The sequence below is a fragment of the Homo sapiens genome, chromosome 1 (assembly GCF_000001405.40).
Source record: "Homo sapiens chromosome 1, GRCh38.p14 Primary Assembly".
Lineage (NCBI taxonomy): Eukaryota > Metazoa > Chordata > Mammalia > Primates > Hominidae > Homo > Homo sapiens.
This window is the reverse complement of record NC_000001.11, coordinates 143549552-143568079: the sequence shown is the minus strand read 5'-3', so window position 1 is coordinate 143568079 and position 18528 is coordinate 143549552.

Genomic DNA, 18528 nt, shown 5'->3' with positions numbered 1-18528 from the left:
ATCTTCTGGCTTCTATATTTTTATAATCTTTCTTACATTATGTCTTAAAGATAAATTTTCCAGGAGACAATTTTTTCCTTATTGGCTAATGAAATAGGACAAATCATAATAAATAATAAGTTTCTGGGTAGAGAAGACACAGACAAGGAAATCAAGCTGGATACAGAGAACATTTTCAAGAATGGAGAGATTATGGTGCAATGAAGCAAAAACAGCAATAGGAAAACTATTGGAGGATGAATAATGGCAAGAAAGCCAGCCACAGAAGGTGCAGTGAGTAGGGCTAAAGGCCTTGGGGCATGCAGAGAAAACTCTCTAAATACAGATAATATGTTTAGAGACAAAAAAAGGTTGTTTGCGTTAATCACTTTCCATCATCAGTCCCTGGGCCCTTTAGTTGCCATATTTAGCATTTGTTCTGTTGATTATGGCTGTTTCTGAGCCAGGAGTAGAGGAAACAGAGCTGGGGAGGACCAGAGCTGGGGAATTCATACCAACATCCCAGACTGGAGGGGACACAGCTGAATCTGGGGAGTAAAGGCAACCACAGTTTTCAGGAGCCCTGGAACACACTGCACATGAAGCACATGCACACCTAGCCATCCCCACTGAGGCCTAAGGTGGCAGGACTCTCCTCTTACAGAATTATGCGCACGCCACAAGCAAAAGAAAAGCAAAATCCCACGAGTCACTGAGTTCAGAATGTTTCCATTCTTCAGAACAAAAAGATATTCCTTTAATTGAGGGATGTTCCATGAGAAAGTAACCTCTAGTTTGAAAAATTATTAGGTGTATTTTTATAAACCAAGTCTTGAGTATAATCTCTGTGTGGTATCTAATACGATGCCCTGTAACTAAATGTAATATGTATAAATATACATAGTACATATTAAAATGTAGAATCAAATAATAAAAGGATTCATGGGGGACTAAACTCAACTTTCTAGCCATCATTCTGATGAGGGTAATACTGAAAAAAATGTACTTGTGTCTAAAGAACGGAGATGGAAGTCTTGGTGGGTTAACATTGTCTTGCTGGAGACTAAAAAGCAACCCTATGGTAGAGGAATAGGAAAATATCACAAAGAAGGTAGAAAAGGTCCTGCTCAGGCAAGTGTTGCCCAGTGCCTGCTTTCTGGCTCAGGCCTCGGGAGTGCTAGAGAAAGAGAGGCAGGGACTGTGCCAGTGGGGCTTCTTGGCTGCTGTATGGGAAGCCAGTGAGAGGGGAAGGCCTGTTTAGAAGGAAGAGTTGGAGACATAACTGAACACCACAACTATCAGCGCAGCCCAGAGGAGGGCAAGGCATCCACCTAATGTAAGCTGAGAAGTTCCTGGCAGCCAGGCGGTTTGCATGGCGGCCCACATGTGTTTTTTCACTGAATTGCCAACGCAGCGTAATCATGTTATTGTCACCTTCATTTGACAAATAAGGTTACTGTCAGATAAACAAGCATCTACAAGAACCAGAGAAAAATGAAGATTAACATGACCCAGAAATAGCTGGCAGGAGAGTGAAAGCTCAGCTTTAGCGAAACCAAACAGTGGTTCCTGATTTGAATAAAATTGAAGGTATGGCCATGGAGGTGAGTGGAGATGGTGTACTAAATGGTGTATCAAAAGGAAAAAAAGACAGAGGAAGTAGAAATTGAATGATTTAAGACTAGGGGGACACCATTGACATTTCAGTTAAAACTGGGAGAAGTGAGATTGATGGGGGATATCGAGAAGAGAAGGGGGTCCTGGTCAAACACGCCTATCTGAAAAGGCAGGCAAGGGGAGGGGTAGAGAGTGAATGATGGCCACCCGAAATAAATTGCCCACCGTCCAGAACTTCCCCAGAGCCCTGTTTCCTTAAGGGCAGGAACATTTTGCCACACACTGAGTTCCCCACCTGTGAGGGAAAGGGGGACTAGAGAATCTGGGAAGGTCGGCAATACTGAGACAGAACACAATGAGCTGGAAGGAACACAGACTGAAAATCACAACATCTGGTTCTGATCCTGGCTTTGTCTATAACTTCTCTAAACCCTTGCTTGTCTGTTAATATCTCAAGACCTAAGTTTTCTTGTGTGAAATAGAGACAGCAAAACCTGCTTTACTACAGATGAAATTCTATATGTGAAAACACTTCGCTAATACTAAAGCACTAAGCAAATCCAAGAAAAAGATATGAACATATACAGCTACTAATTATTGAGCAATTCTTAGTGTGCCAAGCATTTGTAAATGATTTCATGTAATGCTCAAAATCATATAAGGTATATATTATTATTATCCTAAATATAAGGAAACTAAGGCCTAAACCTCTGATACTTTAAACACCTTGCCCAAATCAAATGATCTTTAAGTGGTAAACTCAGAATCTGGAGCCTGGCCTGGCCTAAATCCCACACTTTCACTCAGGCTGCTAGACTAGAGCATCTCTGATTTCAACCTGACCCTAAGGAGCATAGACCAGGCAGATTGCACCTTCTGCTGCAGACATCCTGGTGATCTCCCCACTGGCTGAGAGCTTTCTAAGTCCCTTTTCCTTCCTACCTTGGAGGAGCAGCTGTTTGTTTCCAGGGTCAGTGCTGGCTGGGAAGTTCTTGTTAATGGAGAAGGGGCTGAGGCTGGCTTTGCCAGCACCGCTATCCAGCTGCTGTCGCAGCTGCAGTCACAGACAATTGTTCCCCTGAATGCTTTGCTCCAGCTGCCCTCTCAGACCTCGTACCTCTCTCACCAGGTGGCTCAGGACACTGCTCAAAGGGATTTGGTGACAAGCATCCAGGCTGTAACCTAAGAGAGAAGAGGAGTCTGGTAACATTGACCCAAGTATTTCCAAGCACTTGTCAGAACCCTCCTCTGTGACACTCTTTTCTGCCAAGGACCCCACTATCATCTGAGTCTCATGCAACCCATCTATGATGGACATGTCATCATTTCTGTGTGTGGCCTGGGGATGGCACTGAGCTGGCACACATCCAGTCTGAAACTTCTTTGTGGTTTAAGTTACACACATGCACCTATAGAGCATTTGATTGGCAGATAAGGATAAGTCCATATTTCATCTCCATAGTAACCTTAGTCCTGTAGGCTAAAGTATAGGATCCTCCAAGGTAGAAGGTCAGCACTGAGCTAGAGAAGGGTAGGGGATGAAGGAGAAAGAGATTTGACAGTCTTCACTCTCAAAAATGAAAGAGGAGAAGGAGGAGGCCTTTTGGTAGCATGTGAGGATATGAGTTCGGCAACTTAGACGAGGGATTATAACTAAGTGAGTTTTTCAACTTCTCTCTCTCTCTCTCTCTCTCTGTGTGTATATATATGTATATATGTATACAGTATATATGTATATGTGTATACATGTATATATGTATATATGTACGTGTGTACATATATACACCTATATATAGTGTGTATATATGTTGTGTGCATATACATACTATATATGTGTATATATGAAATATATGTACATATATATGTACACACATATACACACATGTATATATAAATATATACATGTATATATGAATATATACGCGTATATATAAATATATATGCATATATAAAAATATATATGTGTATATATATTTACCTCCATTCACCACATGTAGTTTATTTCTTTGTACTGGGGATGAAGAGATCTAAGAAATATTCTACAAGTCCACAATCCCTTATCTGAAAACCTTAAGGCCAAATGTATCTCAAAAAGTAAATTTTGTTTTAGTTTTTAGCAAGGCAACAGGGTGCATATATCGTATATAACATGTACCCAGTTGCAGGTGAGCCACAATCCTTAATCAAACATATAACTATTTCTGCAATGAGCTATGTGAACATTCTAAGTAGATAAATAAAGACTTATGAATATCTTCTTGTCAGTTCATCTAGATTTTGTCACTAAATGACTATTTGAAAAATTTAATTTGGAGATCTTACTGGATTTTGAAATTACAGATAAGAGATTATGGAGCTTGAGAGGAGCCAAGATGGCCGAATAGGAACAGCTCCGGTCTACAGCTCACAGCGTGAGCGACGCAGAAGAAGGGTGATTTCTGCATTTCCATCTGAGGTACCGGGTTCATCTCACTAGGGAGTGCCAGACAGTGGGCGCAGGCCAGTGGGTGCGCGCACCGTGCGTGAGCTGAAGCAGGGCGAGGCATTGCCTCACCTGGGAAGCACAAGGGGTCAGGGAGTTCCCTTTCCGAGTCAAAGAAAGGGGTGACGGACGCACCTGGAAAATTGGGTCACTCCCACCCGAATATTGCGCTTTTCAGACCGGCTGAAAAAACAGCGCACCACGAGACTATATCCCACACCTGGCTTGGAGGGTCCTAAGCCCACGGAATCTCGCTGACTGCTAGCACAGCAGTCTGAGATCAAACTGCAAGGCGGCAGCGAGGCTGGGGGAGGGGCGCCCGCCATTGCCCAGGCTTGTTTAGGTAAACAAAGCAGCGGGGAAGCTCGAACTGGGTGGAGCCCATCACAGCTCAAGGAGGCCTGCCTGCTTCTGTAGGCTCCACCTCTGGGGGCAGGGCACAGACAAACAAAAAGACAGCAGTAACCTCTGCAGACTTAAATGTCCCTGTCTGACAGCTTTGAAGAGAGCAGTGGTTCTCCCAGCACGCAGCTGGAGATCTGAGAACGGGCAGACTGCCTTCTCAAGTGGGTCCCTGACCCCTGACCCCCGAGCAGCCTAACTGGGAGGCACCCCCCAGCAGGGGCACACTGACACCTCACACGGCAGGGAATTCCAACAGACCTGCAGCTGAGGGTCCTGTCTGTTAGAAGGAAAACTAACAAACAGAAAGGACATCCACACCGAAAACCCATCTGTACATCACCATCATCAAAGACCCAAAGTAGATAAAACCACAAAGATGGGGAAAAAACAGAACAGAAAAACTGGAAATTCTAAAACGCAGAGTGCCTCTCCTCCTCCAAAGGAACGCAGTTCCTCACCAGCAACGGAACAAAGCTGGATGGAGAATGATTTTGACGAGCTGAGAGAAGAAGGCTTCAGATGATCAAATTACTCTAAGCTATGGGAGGACATTCAAACCAAAGGCAAAGAAGTTGAAAACTTCGAAAAAAATTTAGAAGAATGTATAACTAGAATAACCAATACAGAGAAGTGCTTAAAGGAGCTGATGGAGCTGAAAACCAAGGCTCAAGAACTACGTGAAGAATGCAGAAGCCTCAGGAGCCGATGCGATCAACTGGAAGAAAGGGTATCAGCAATGGAAGATGAAATGAATGAAATGAAGTGAGAAGGGAAGTTTAGAGACAAAAGAATAAAAAGAAATGAGCAAAGCCTCCAAGAAATAAGGGACTATGTGAAAAGACCAAATCTACGTCTGATTGGTGTACCTGAAAGTGATGCGGAGAATGGAATCAAGTTGGAAAACACTCTGCAGGATATTATCCAGGAGAACTTCCCCAATCTAGCAAGGCAGGCCAACGTTCAGATTCAGGAAATACAGAGAACGCCACAAAGATACTCCTCGAGAAGAGCAACTCCAAGACACATAATTGTCAGATTCACCAAAGTTGAAATGAAGGAAAAAATGTTAAGGGCAGCCAGAGAGAAAGGTCGGGTTACCCTCAAAGGGAAGCCCATCAGACTAACAGCGGATCTCTCAGCAGAAACCCTACAAACCAGAAGAGAGTGGGGGCCAATATTCAACATTCTTAAAGAAAAGAATTTTCAACCCAGAATTTCATATCCAGCCAAACTAAGCTTCATAAGTGAAGGAGAAATAAAATACTTTACAGACAAGCAAATGGTGAGAGATTTTGTCACCACCAGGCCTGCCCTAAAAGAGCTCCTGAAGGAAGCGCTAAACGTGGAAAGGAACAACCAGTACCAGCCGCTGCAAAATCATGCCAAAATGTAAAGACCATCGAGACTAGGAAGAAACTGCATCAACTAACGAGCAAAATCACCAGCTAACATCATAATGACAGGATCAAATTCACACATAACGATATTAACTTTAAATGTAAATGGACTAAATTCTCCAATTAAAAGACACAGACTGGCAAGTTGGATAAAGAGTCAAGACCCATCAGTGTGCTGTATTCAAGAAACCCTTCTCACGTGCAGAGACACACATAGGCTGAAAATAAAAGGATGGAGGAAGATCTACCAAGCAAATGGAAAACAAAAAAAGGCAGGGGTTGCAATCCTAGTCTCTGATAAAACAGACTTTAAACCAACAAAGATCAAAAGAGACAAAGAAGGCCATTACATAATGGTAAAGGGATCAATTCAACAAGAGGAGCTAACTATCCTAAATATATATGCACCCAATACAGGAGCACCCAGATTCATAAAGCAAGTCCTGAGTGACCTACAAAGAGACTTAGACTCCCACACATTAATAATGGGAGACTTTAACACCCCACTGTCAACATTAGACAGATCAACGAGACAGAAAGTCAACAAGGATACCCAGGAATTGAACTCAGCTCTGCACCAAGCGGACCTAATAGACATCTACAGAACTCTCCACCCCAAATCAACAGAATATACATTTTTTTCAGCACCACACCACACCTATTCCAAAATTGACCACATAGTTGGAAGTAAAGCTCTCCTCAGCAAATGTAAAAGAACAGAAATTATAACCAACTATCTCTCAGACCACAGTGCAATCAAACTAGAACTCAGGATTAAGAATCTCACTCAAAGCCGCTCAACTACATGGAAACTGAACAACCTGCTCCTGAATGACTACTGGGTACATAACGAAATGAAGGCAGAAATAAAGATGTTCTTTGAAACCAATGAGAACAAAGACACAACATACCAGAATCTCTGGGATGCATTCAAAGCAGTGTGTAGAGGGAAATTTATAGCACTAAATGCCCACAAGAGAAAGCAGGAAAGATCCAAAATTGACACCCTACCATCACAATTAAAAGAACTAGAAAAGCAAGAGCAAACACATTCAAAAGCTAGCAGAAGGCAAGAAATAACTAAAATCAGAGCAGAACTGAAGGAAATAGAGACACAAAAAACCCTTCTAAAAATCAATGAATCCAGGAGCTGGTTTTTTGAAAGGATCAACAAAATTGATAGACCGCTAGCAAGACTAATAAAGAAAAAAAGAGAGAAGAATCAAATAGACACAATAAAAAATGATAAAGGGGATATCACCACCGATCCCACAGAAATACAAACTACCATCAGAGAATACTACAAACACCTCTACGCAAATAAACTAGAAAATCTAGAAGAAATGGATACATTCCTCGACACATACACTCTCCCAAGACTAAACCAGGAAGAAGTCGAATCTCTGAATAGACCAATAAAAGGCTCTGAAATTGTGGCAATAATCAATAGTTTACCAACCAAAAAGAGTCCAGGACCAGATGGATTCACAGCTGAATTCTACCAGAGGTACAAGGAGGAACTGGTACCATTCCTTCTGAAACTATTCCAATCAACAGAAAAAGAGGGAATCCTCCCTAACTCATTTTATGAGGCCAGCATCATTCTGATACCAAAGCCGGGCAGAGACACAACCAAAAAAGAGAATTTTAGACCAATATCCTTGATGAACATTGATGCAAAAATCCTCAATAAAATACTGGCAAACCGAATCCAGCAGCACATCAAAAAGCTTATCCATCATGATCAAGTGGGCTTCATCCCTGGGATGCAAGGCTGGTTCAATATACGCAAATCAATAAATGTAATCCAGCATATAAACAGAGCCAAAGACAAAAACCACATGATTATCTCAATAGATGCAGAAAAAGCCTTTGACAAAATTCAACAACCCTTCATGCTAAACACTCTCAATAAATTAGGTATTGATGGGACGTATCTCAAAATAATAAGAGCTATCTATGACAAATCCACAGCCAATATCATACTGAATGGGCAAAAACTGGAAGCATTCCCTCTGAAAACTGGCACAAGACAGGGATGCCCTCTCTCACCACTCCTATTCAACATAGTGTTGGAAGTTCTGGCCAGGGCAATTAGGCAGGAGAAGGAAACAAAGGGGATTCAATTAGGAAAAGAAGAAGTCAAATTGTCCCTGTATGCAGATGACATGATTGTATATCTAGAAAACCCCATCGTCTCAGCCCAAAATCTCCTTAAGCTGATAAGCAACTTCAGCAAAGTCTCAGGATACAAAATCAATGTACAAAAATCACAAGCATTCCTATACACCAACAACAGACAGAGAGCCAAATCATGAGTGAACTCCCATTCACAATTGCTTCAAAGAGAATAAAATACCTAGGAATCCAACTTACAAGGGATGTGAAGGACCTCTTCAAGGAGAACTACAAACCACTGCTCAAGGAAATAAAAGAGGACACAAACAAATGGAAGAACATTCCATGCTCATGGGTAGGAAGAATCAATATCATGAAAATGGCCATACTGCCCAAGGTAATTTACAGATTCAATGCCATCCCCATCAAGCTACCAATGACTTTCTTCACAGAATTGGAAAAAACTACTTTAAAGTTCATATGGAACCAAAAAAGAGCCCACATCGCCAAGTCAATCCTAAGCCAAAAGAACAAAGCTGGAGGCATCACACTACCTGACTTCAAACTACACTACAAGGCTACAGTAACCAAAACAGCATGGTACTGGCACCAAAACAGAGATATAGATCAATGGAACAGAACAGAGCCCTCAGAAATAATGCCGCTTACCTACAACTATCTGATCTTTGACAAACCTGAGAAAAACAAACAATGGGGAAAGGATTCCCTATTTAATAAATGGTGCTGGGAAAACTGGCTAGCCATATGTAGAAAGCTGAAACTGGATCCCTTCCTTACACCTTATACAAAAATCAATTCAAGATGGATTAAAGATTTAAACGTTAGACCTAAAACCATAAAAACCCTAGAAGAAAACCTAGGCATTACCATTCAGGACATAGGCGTGGGCAAGGACTTCATGTCCAAAACACCAAAAGCAACGGCAACAAAAGCCAAAATTGACAAATGGGATCTAATTAAACTAAAGAGCTTCTGCACAGCAAAAGAAACTACCATCAGAGTGAACAGGCAACCTACAACATGGGAGAAAATTTTCACAACCTACTCATCTGACAAAGGGCTAATATCCAGAATCTACAATGAACTCAAACAAATTTACAAGAAAAAAACAAACAACCCCATCAAAAAGTGGGCGAAGGACATGAACAGACACTTCTCAAAAGAAGACATTTATGCAGTCAAAAAACACATGAAAAAATGCTCGTCATCACTGGCCATCAGAGAAACGTAAATCAAAACCACAATGAGATATCATCTCACACCAGTTAGAATGGCGATCATTAAAAAGTCAGGAAACAACAGGTGCTGGAGAGGATGTGGAGAAATAGGAACACTTTTACACTGTTGGTGGGACTGTAAACTAGTTCAACCATTGTGGAAGTCAGTGTGGCGATTCCTCAAGGATCTAGAACTAGAAATACCATTTGACCCAGCCATCCCATTACTGGGTATATACCCAAATGACTATAAATCATGCTGCTATAAAGACACATGCACACGTATGTTTATTGCGGCATTATTCACAATAGCAAAGACTTGGAACCAACCCAAATGTCCAACAATGATAGACTGGATTAAGAAAATGTGGCACATATACACCATGGAATACTATGCAGCCATAAAAAATGATGAGTTCATGTCCTTTGTAGGGACATGGATGAAATTGGAAACCATCATTCTCAGTAAACTATCGCAAGAACAAAAAACCAAACACCGCATATTCTCACTCATAGGTGGAAATTGAACAATTGAACAATGAGATCGCATGGACACAGGAAGGGGAATATCACACTCTGGGGACTGTGGTGGGGAGGGGGGAGGGGGGAGGGATAGCATTGGGAGATATACCTAATGCTAGATGACGAGTTAGTGGGTGCAGCGCACCAGCATGGCACATGTATACATATGTAACTAACCTGTACAATGTGCACATGTACCCTAAAACTTAAAGTATAATTAAAAAAAAAAAAAAAAGAGATTATGGAGCTTTAGTGGTTGTAGCTCTGAAATGAGTCCTAAAAGGCAGGGAGAAAAGCATGAAAGGAAAGGTAGCTCAGGATGAATTAGTTTTAGAGACTTTGGTAAATAATCTACTCTTGAATTTTGCCCAAAGTTTTGTGATGTTGCTCTCTCTCTTTCTCAATCCAAGTTCTCATTAAATTTTGCTTATTTTTTAAAGAGATGTTTTTAAATCTATCTATACCCTTTCATCTTCCCAATAGCACCTTATATTAGACTGTCATCTCTTAATGTGCCAGAATATCACTAGACCCATCCAATAGGTTTCCCAGATTCTAACGTCTCCCAACTCCAGGACATCCCCTGAGACTTAGCATCTGAAAGCTCTGTTTTCATCATATACTTATCTTCTTTGAAAAAGAACAGACTTAGTTTCATTATCTACTGTACAGAATGTCAACTTTCCCCCTGACCTGTGGGCTTTCAAGATTTGATGACTCTGCTCCACCATCCTGACTTCTCACTCCCCAAACCCCAAGCTTCTCCTGTGGGCAGGCTGGTCCCTCTGACCCAACACTCACCATGACTTTGTACTTAAGCTATTCTCCCAGCCTGGTGAGCCCCTCTGTATTTCTTCAAGTTCCAGTTCACCTTCTCTTTAGAAAATCAGGAAACTAAATCAGGATTTATGATAATTCCAATCTAAATTCCACTGCCCTTCACTCTTTGTTTAGCCCTCTGGAGGGACATAAAATACATGAGTTCTTTTTCACCTTGACAGTTCTTCAAATATCTGAAGCCAGTTCTCATGTCCTCAAGATCTTTTGAAAGCCTAAATTTCTTTAGTTTCTTTGACCAGTTCAAGATGTCTGGTACACACCATTGTGCGCCCTGTCTTCATTATGTTCCCTAGTGTGTCAATGCCCTTTTCAAAGATGGTGCCCCATAATCTAACAATATTTTAGACATGGTCTCCACAGGTGAACATCACACTTACACTACTGTAGTGTTATTTTGAGCTGGTATTTCTAGCATCCTTTTGCCTATGCCATTCTTGTGTGAACATGTTTCTACCAAACCCCAAACCCTGAAGTCCATGAATGGCTGCCTGTCCTATATTTCTATGCTCATCCTATATTTCTACCACTGATACTTTTAATCGAGCTCAGGATTTTGCTTTTAATCTTTGCTAAATTTCATGACATTGATGTCAGCCCTCTGTCCCAGCCTGCTGTGACTTATTAACGTTATGTTTTGAGTACTCTCCTCCATTTAAAGAAGAATGAAGAAATATATCAAAATTCTCAAATATTAGATTATTATTTCAGTAGGAAGCAAAGTCTTCAAAAAATGTCCTTAATATTTAAATCCAGGATTGAAATTTAGGTCTTATTAGTGGTATTTCTATGAAGTTTTTTTGTTTTCATGTCTTTTAATTTTCTCCTGTGGGCAGGCTGGTCCCCACTGACTCAACACTCACCATGACTTTGAACTTAAGCTATTCACCGAGCCTGGTAAGCCCCTGTATTTCTTCAAATTCCAGTTCACCTTCTCTTTAGAAAATCAGGAAACTAAATCAGGATTTATGAAAATTAAATGAAAGGGCAATAAGCTGAGAGCCAGATGTCACTAGGGAAAGGGTCAGGGTGGGAGCAGACTGCCTGCTACATTGGGCTGAATGGGTTGTCAGTATGTATCACTGACAATATTAGAGGCCTTTTCAAATGATATCATTAGGACTGTTCTTTTGCTTTAAAAAATGTTATAATCACCAGGTGCGGTGGCTCACACCTGTAATCCCAGCACTTTGGGAGGCCGAGGTGGGCAGATCATGACATCAGGAGATCAAGACCATCCTAGCTAACATGGTGAAACCCTGTCTCTACTAAAAATACAAAAAAATTAGCTGGGCATGGTGGCAGGTGCCTGTAGTCCCAGCTACTCGGGAGTCTGAGGCAGGAGAATGGCCAGAACCTGGGAGGCAGAGCTTGCAGTGAGCCGAGGTCATGCCACTGCACTCCAGCCTGGGTGACAGAGCGAGACTCCATCTCAAAAAAAAAAAAAAAAAAGTTATAATCTAGACATTGATAGGAATGTCTAGAATGGGAATGTCCAGATTTTCTTAAAGTAATTAAGAATGATCAGGCTGGATCTTGCTCGTGCTACCAACCTGTCACCTTGGGCTTTGTGCATGAGAGTTCCTACTGGGAGCCCCAGGCTTGGGTGGGGTTTCTGAGACAGAACTCTGTAGCTTCCCATGATCTCCACAACTCCCAAAGGAAAGACCTCACTAGCATCTTATGCAAGAGCAAAAAGTTCATGGGGTAAGGGGAGAAGAACACAAACCTTTCAGCCCCTTCTTGGAATTGCCATAAAGTGCCTTGTGGATTTGTAGCTCTGACTGGAGGGACTCAAAGAGCTGCTGTTTCTCTTCACATTGTTGCTGCAGGAGGACCAGCTTGTGCTGCAGTCTGACCAGGGAGCGGCAAGGCCCACTGAAATGGCAGGGCCACTCAGTCACACCAGAGCAATAAGCTGAGAGCCAGATGTCAACCCAGGGGTTCATAAAGGTTTATGGGTAGGGTTACATCTGAGCCCCAGATGTCAACTCAGGGGGTCATGAAGACCATCACTTTTATTTTGCAGATGTGGAAATGGTGGCTGAGGGAGGTCAAGTAACTTTGCTTGAAAACACACCATTACCTACATTAGTTCAGAGCAGAACAGATACACCAGCACAGTCTCCTTACTGCTCCTACAGTGCTCTTTTCATTCTGACAAGCAGTTACAAGGCTTATGATGGGACCTAGCATCACAGCCAGTATAGAAGCTTCCTAGGCGATGGTGAGACTAATGTCCTATACCTAATTGGAAGCATGGGAACCCTTCCTTGTCATGTCTCTGATATACTGAAGATTTCTATAACAGAGTTTTACTCTCTCAACTTGGGAGTGACAAGGCATTCCCAGAGAAGTACTTTCTTCTGCTCAAAGCGCCTTCCTATCCAACAACTGACACACAAAAATCAGGAATAGCAGAGGGAACATTGAGGTTTCCAAAAGAGGACACCAATTGTCTTACCAATATCCCTTCTTCTAATGTAAGAATGAATGTAAGAATGAAGAATGCTACCTTCTGTGTCAATGGGTCCCCTCTTACCTGGAGTCATTTTCCTGGAGGGAAAGACGATCCTCCCTGAAATGCAAGAACTCTTGCTGCTTCTCCCTCAAGTCTTCCAAAAGTTGCTGCCTTTCCATCTTCTGGTGCTCCAGCTCCTTTTCCAGCTATTGAAGGTGGGATTGAGAGGACAGCAGAGCCTCCCTCAGGCTTTCCATTTCCTGGGAGTGCTCTGGTGAGAGGAACACGGAGGATTGATTTATTATCATGGGGTCAGAGCTCAGCAGGAAGATGACCCCAAGCACATCTGCCCTGACAAACAGCTAAGGAGCAGGGAAGGAAGGCCCTATGTTGGTGGGGAAGAGCATGCTGGCTCAACACCCACCGCAGCCTGGAGAATGGTGCATCTCTCTCTCTGCAAAACCTTTCGTCCCACTTAATCTGTCCTACCTTGCTTTTAGAGAAATTCTGGTTTCTAATGTTCACCATTTTCCAAGTGCTCACATACCATCTGTTCAATAATCCATTCTTGAATTTTGACAAAGATCAACATCAAGATTTCTTTTTGGAATATATCACTTTCATTATTTTGAAAACTGGGATATTTGTTCTTTTTTGAACTTGCAGCACTTCTCTGATCTTCACAAGTTGTCAAAGATTATTGAAGACACTCTAAAAATACAGCTGCGGGCTCAGTAAGTCCTCTGGGGAAGGATTCACCTGAGCCTGACAAACTGTATTCATTTAAATCTCTTACTGTCTTCTCACCTGTGAGGTCTCTTCTATTCTCTCCAAGCATGCAATGGTAGCTTAGTAGTTCTGCCCTCTTTCTTATCTGTTAACTTTTGTTATCGTCCCCCAGCAGTGACATTTCCTCTCAAATTTTCTTGCTAATATAGAAATCAATTAATTTAATTAATTAATTAATTTAGGTGGCTAATTTAGAAATATCTCTTGGTGGCGTTTTCCTTTTCCACAAGCATTCCTTCATTCTGGGCTTAATCCTTTTGGATACTACTCTCAGTCTTTTTATGGCAGTTCAATAAATATTTGTGAATAAAAATACTTTGTTATCGATAATACATTGATTTGATCAAGTAGACGAACACCAAGGTCAGCTGTCTCCCAGCCACACGAGAAATGATGCCCACCTGTGAGTGCCCCCTGGCTAGGGCTGGGAAAGTGCTGGGGGGCATTTGCTGGTGCCACTTGGCATGGAGTCATAGGAGTACTGGCCAGAGAGGAGCCCTGAGTCTATGAGTGAGGGATGTGGTGAGGAGGCAGAGGTATGGCAGAGCAGGGCCAGGAGCAACACATGCTGCTGCAATAAAGTCTGGAGAAAGTTGAGAGGGAAGATAGGCATTTGCACTCCCTCCTTTATTGGTTCCAAATCAGTTGTGAGTGAAGGGAGGTAGAACAGATACCAGACTGGTATCCAGATTGATAGCTGGTGACTCTGGATATATGCAGGTGGGTTGTACAGAAATGATGGATTTCCTAGAGCTCTTCACTCCTGGGGACTAGGAGTCTGAGGGGCCCATAGTTGGCACATCTTAGAAAGCAGCCTTCTCTAGACTGAGAATAGCTGTGAGTTTGGGTTGGTGGATCTGAGTAGCTCTGTTATCTCTACCTTCTTCTATTTGCTTCTCCAGTTGGTGATTAGTGTGGCCAGGGAAGAACGAAACTTAAGAGTGACCACAGTTTGTGGGTTTTGACCATGTACCTTTGGAAATATGACTCAGCTGAGCCTGAAGTCTTCAATTTTCTTCCCTGAGGACTCTGCTCTCATTGCAGAGCTGAGGTATGGACTCCAGGCCCTGACTGTAGAAGTTAGAAGTGGATCCTGTCCCAGAAAGTATACTTTTGGGTAACAGAAGCTTCCAAAAGTTTCCCATTCTTTATCTCTCAAAGATACTGCCCCAACCCAGCAGAAAACCCCAAGGACTCAAGGCCTGGCCCTGAATGAAGCATGGGGGTCTGGGTACATGTTTTCTGTGTGCCTCTTCTCAGTGGATTCTTTGCGTGCATCATCACATGCCGTAACTGCAATGGTGCAAGAGTCTCAGTCTCCCTAAACAGCTGCTGCTATGGTATAGGCAAGATAAAAACATATGGAAAGACTGGCCTCCATGTGACAGTAGCTTGGAAGGAGAGTGTAAGGAGAAAGGCCACCTTGGTAAAGTGGCCAGGGGTGGAGTTGGGAGGACCCTTACAGACCTGGCTCCACCACTTATCAATCACGCAACAAAGGCACATACATCAGCAGGCAGTATATAAGCAGATTAAGTATGGGGTGAGATGTCAGGTGATTCTGGGGACCAGATCTAGTTCTGCCTTAAAGAGAGTTACTCTCTAAACTCAGATATATTCAGAAAGTAGGGATAACAGTACTTGCCCACCTCCCTTGTTGGACTATTTATAAGGAGCAAGTGAAGTAAAGAATATCTGTGAAGCTCTGCCTAAAGGTCCCTAAATAGAGCCAGAAACAGGAAGGTCTTGGCCTCTCCTACCACTTCCATGGGCAGTAGAGCCCAGCTGGTGTTCCAGTTGCTCCCGTAGGTGGTCACTGATGCAGATGGATTCCTCTAGGTGCTGGCGCAAGTTCTGGATTTCACCAAGATGCTCTTCCACCAGGGCAGTCCCTGTAGCCAAACCAACAGGACATGGAGAGAGGTGAGAGATGGAGAATCCTGGTTACTGGTGGGTGTGGGGCCTAGCCAGGGGCCTTGCAGCAAGACCTGTAAATATCACTAGTCTTCTGCCAACTGTGTGCTGTCACACGGACACCCAAAGGAATGGTAGTTTGTTTAAACAGTCAATGTGCTTTCAAACACATAACAGTCACTTGCTAAAACATCTCCATGGGCCTCCTCCCACACAGGGGTCTTATGAGAGTTCCACATGTTTTAGAAAAATAACTGAGGGCTCTGGACAAGGCCTGCCTAGCATCTGGAAAGGTATGGCCACCTCCTGGGTGTGACTATGAGGATGATAGGTGAGACCTCACTCTACCTTTCTTCTTACTGACACATGAGTGAGCATTCTTTAGCAAGGGACAAAGCCCTTCCTCCCACCCTTAGAAAGAAGGCCTAAAGTAAAAGTATGTGATCTTACACTCACCCTATGCAGTTAATGACTGACACTGAATGCTTCCCTGAAATCACTTTTAATATAGAAGATGAAAGAATAGCCTGGAAGGATCTAGAGATCTGAGGGCAGATTAGAGAGGGGATGACACCACCCCCCTCCCCCAGCCAAACAAAGGAAAAAGATGCAGAAAAGTCAGAGGGATGCTCACGTCGGATATTAACTGAACCATTTTGCTTTGGGCTCAGTCTTTTCCTGAAAATTACGATTGTCTTACTGTTGGAACTGAGTAGCATCCCAGCATTTATGAGCTTAGCTATACCTCTCCACTTGCTGTGACTGAATTTTGTTCACAGGATATATGTGCAGGGTTGGGGAGCTGCACCCTTGCACCCTTTCCTGTGACAACTCCTGACTGATGGAAGAAAGTCCCATCTATGCCTGGCATTCTAGAGGGGTCTAAGAGAGTGGGCTGCAAAGAGGCTGGGCTGCAAAGAGTCCAGGCTGCAGAGAGATGGAAGGACATGAGTATGAGAGCACAAGAGGTGGGTCCCCGACTTTCCCATATCCCTACAGAGCTCTGAGGCCCTGGGCAGGAGAATGAAGAACGTACTTGGAAAGGATTGAGCCCTGATACAGGTCTTTCATTTTATACCCCCCACTCTGTGAGCCAGGGATGGAGGAGGAATGAAACAGTCCTGCCTGGGTAGGAAAAGAATAGACTCTGAATGAGACTTCTTTTCAAAGGCTGCCATCTCCACTTTGTGCTTTACCTCTGGGTTTGGAGTTAAGCTGGTACACAGAGGAGCCTGAGGATAGGTCCCCGGATACACTCCCTTTCTGAGGACTCATCATGTCCCACTGGCCACTGCTGCCCTGGTACCCAGGCTCCAGGATTCTTCCCAGTTCTATGGTGCCTCTTGGAGGAGAGTCAGGCTGGGCAGAGTTGAGGTAGTGGGAAGAGCCAGCTTCCAAGTCTTTGCTCAGCAATGTAGCTGTGGAAGCAGGAGGAATAGTGCTGGCACCTGGGCAGAAAGAAACATGAGTAAGAAGCAAATGCGGTGTCAGAAGGGAAGGATTTTCAAGGAAGTGTGTGATTACTAAGAATAGAGACTAAAAGGAGACCTGTGGAATGTCAGAGATCACAGTTCACTGTGGTATACCAATTAGACTAAGGCTTGTAACCTAGAGGTTGTAATTCTCACCCTTTGTATTTCCTAGCAGGAGACACAAGAGGTAGAGAATAAAGTATCTTAAAGTCATCAGTATACACAATGGAAAAGTCCAGTGGCCCTGCTCCTGGCTCCTACTACAATCCTTCATGACAGACTCCAAGGAAAGTTCTAAAAGTAGGATTCACTCCCACAGTTACAAGTTGTGAGTGCAGCGGCATACAGGATTGAGCTTACCTGTGAACATGAATGTTTGTTTGTCTACATGTACTTGCCTTCCCCTGAAACTAACCGGTCAATATGTCAGTTCCACCTTGGAGTTTTTCAGAAGAGAAAGGGGACATGAAGTCAAGCTGGATATGATGGCCCTAATTCCTCCAGAATGAAGAACTCTTTGCTGAGGCTGGGGAAGGGCCTATGTAAAGCAAGTATTTATTTGGATCCCATCCAACATGACTCAAAGAGCTGCAAAATGTCATCACTCCTGTCTAAAGAATCATTGAATACTATTCCACAGAGGCAGGTAGGACTTTCATTTCATAGGCTGATACTTTCATAGACCCTTTGAAATCATAGGCCTTTCCCTTGAGCCCCTTCATCTCCACTTCTCTGTAAAAAGAAGCCCAGCATAGAGGAGATAGGGAAAGAGGTGGGCAGAAGTGCAATTTAGGAGAAAATTCAGAAGCCTGCTTTCTTTCAGGGATTATGAACATGGGCAGCAGAATAGACAGGTAGCTCCTCCTAAGCAACAGGAGTGAGGTCATTGTTTCTTCCAACCAAGCCAAACTCCTCGGAGGGGTTAGTGTAATTGCCAGTTGCCAGCTTTTAGCCCCATTTGTAGCTGGTTCTCAAATGTTGGTACATATTGGAATCATCTGAGAAAGTATGGAAACATATACTGAGGTGATTCTAACAGGCAGAAGTTTGAGAAGTCTTGTGATGAGTCTCTCCTCCAATTTGCAAAATACTAGATATTCATCAGGATCACTTAGTTAAGGAAGAAGATTAAAAATTTAAGCACCTACATTTTTGAAGGGATGCAACAAATACGTGATTTCCTGCCTCTTTCAAACTGCCTTCAACCCCATCCAAACACAAGGCAAAGGGAGAAATCAGTGGTTGTAGATAGTCAGCTTACTTTTTAATCAAGGCCATGTGAGGTTTTAAGTCTATC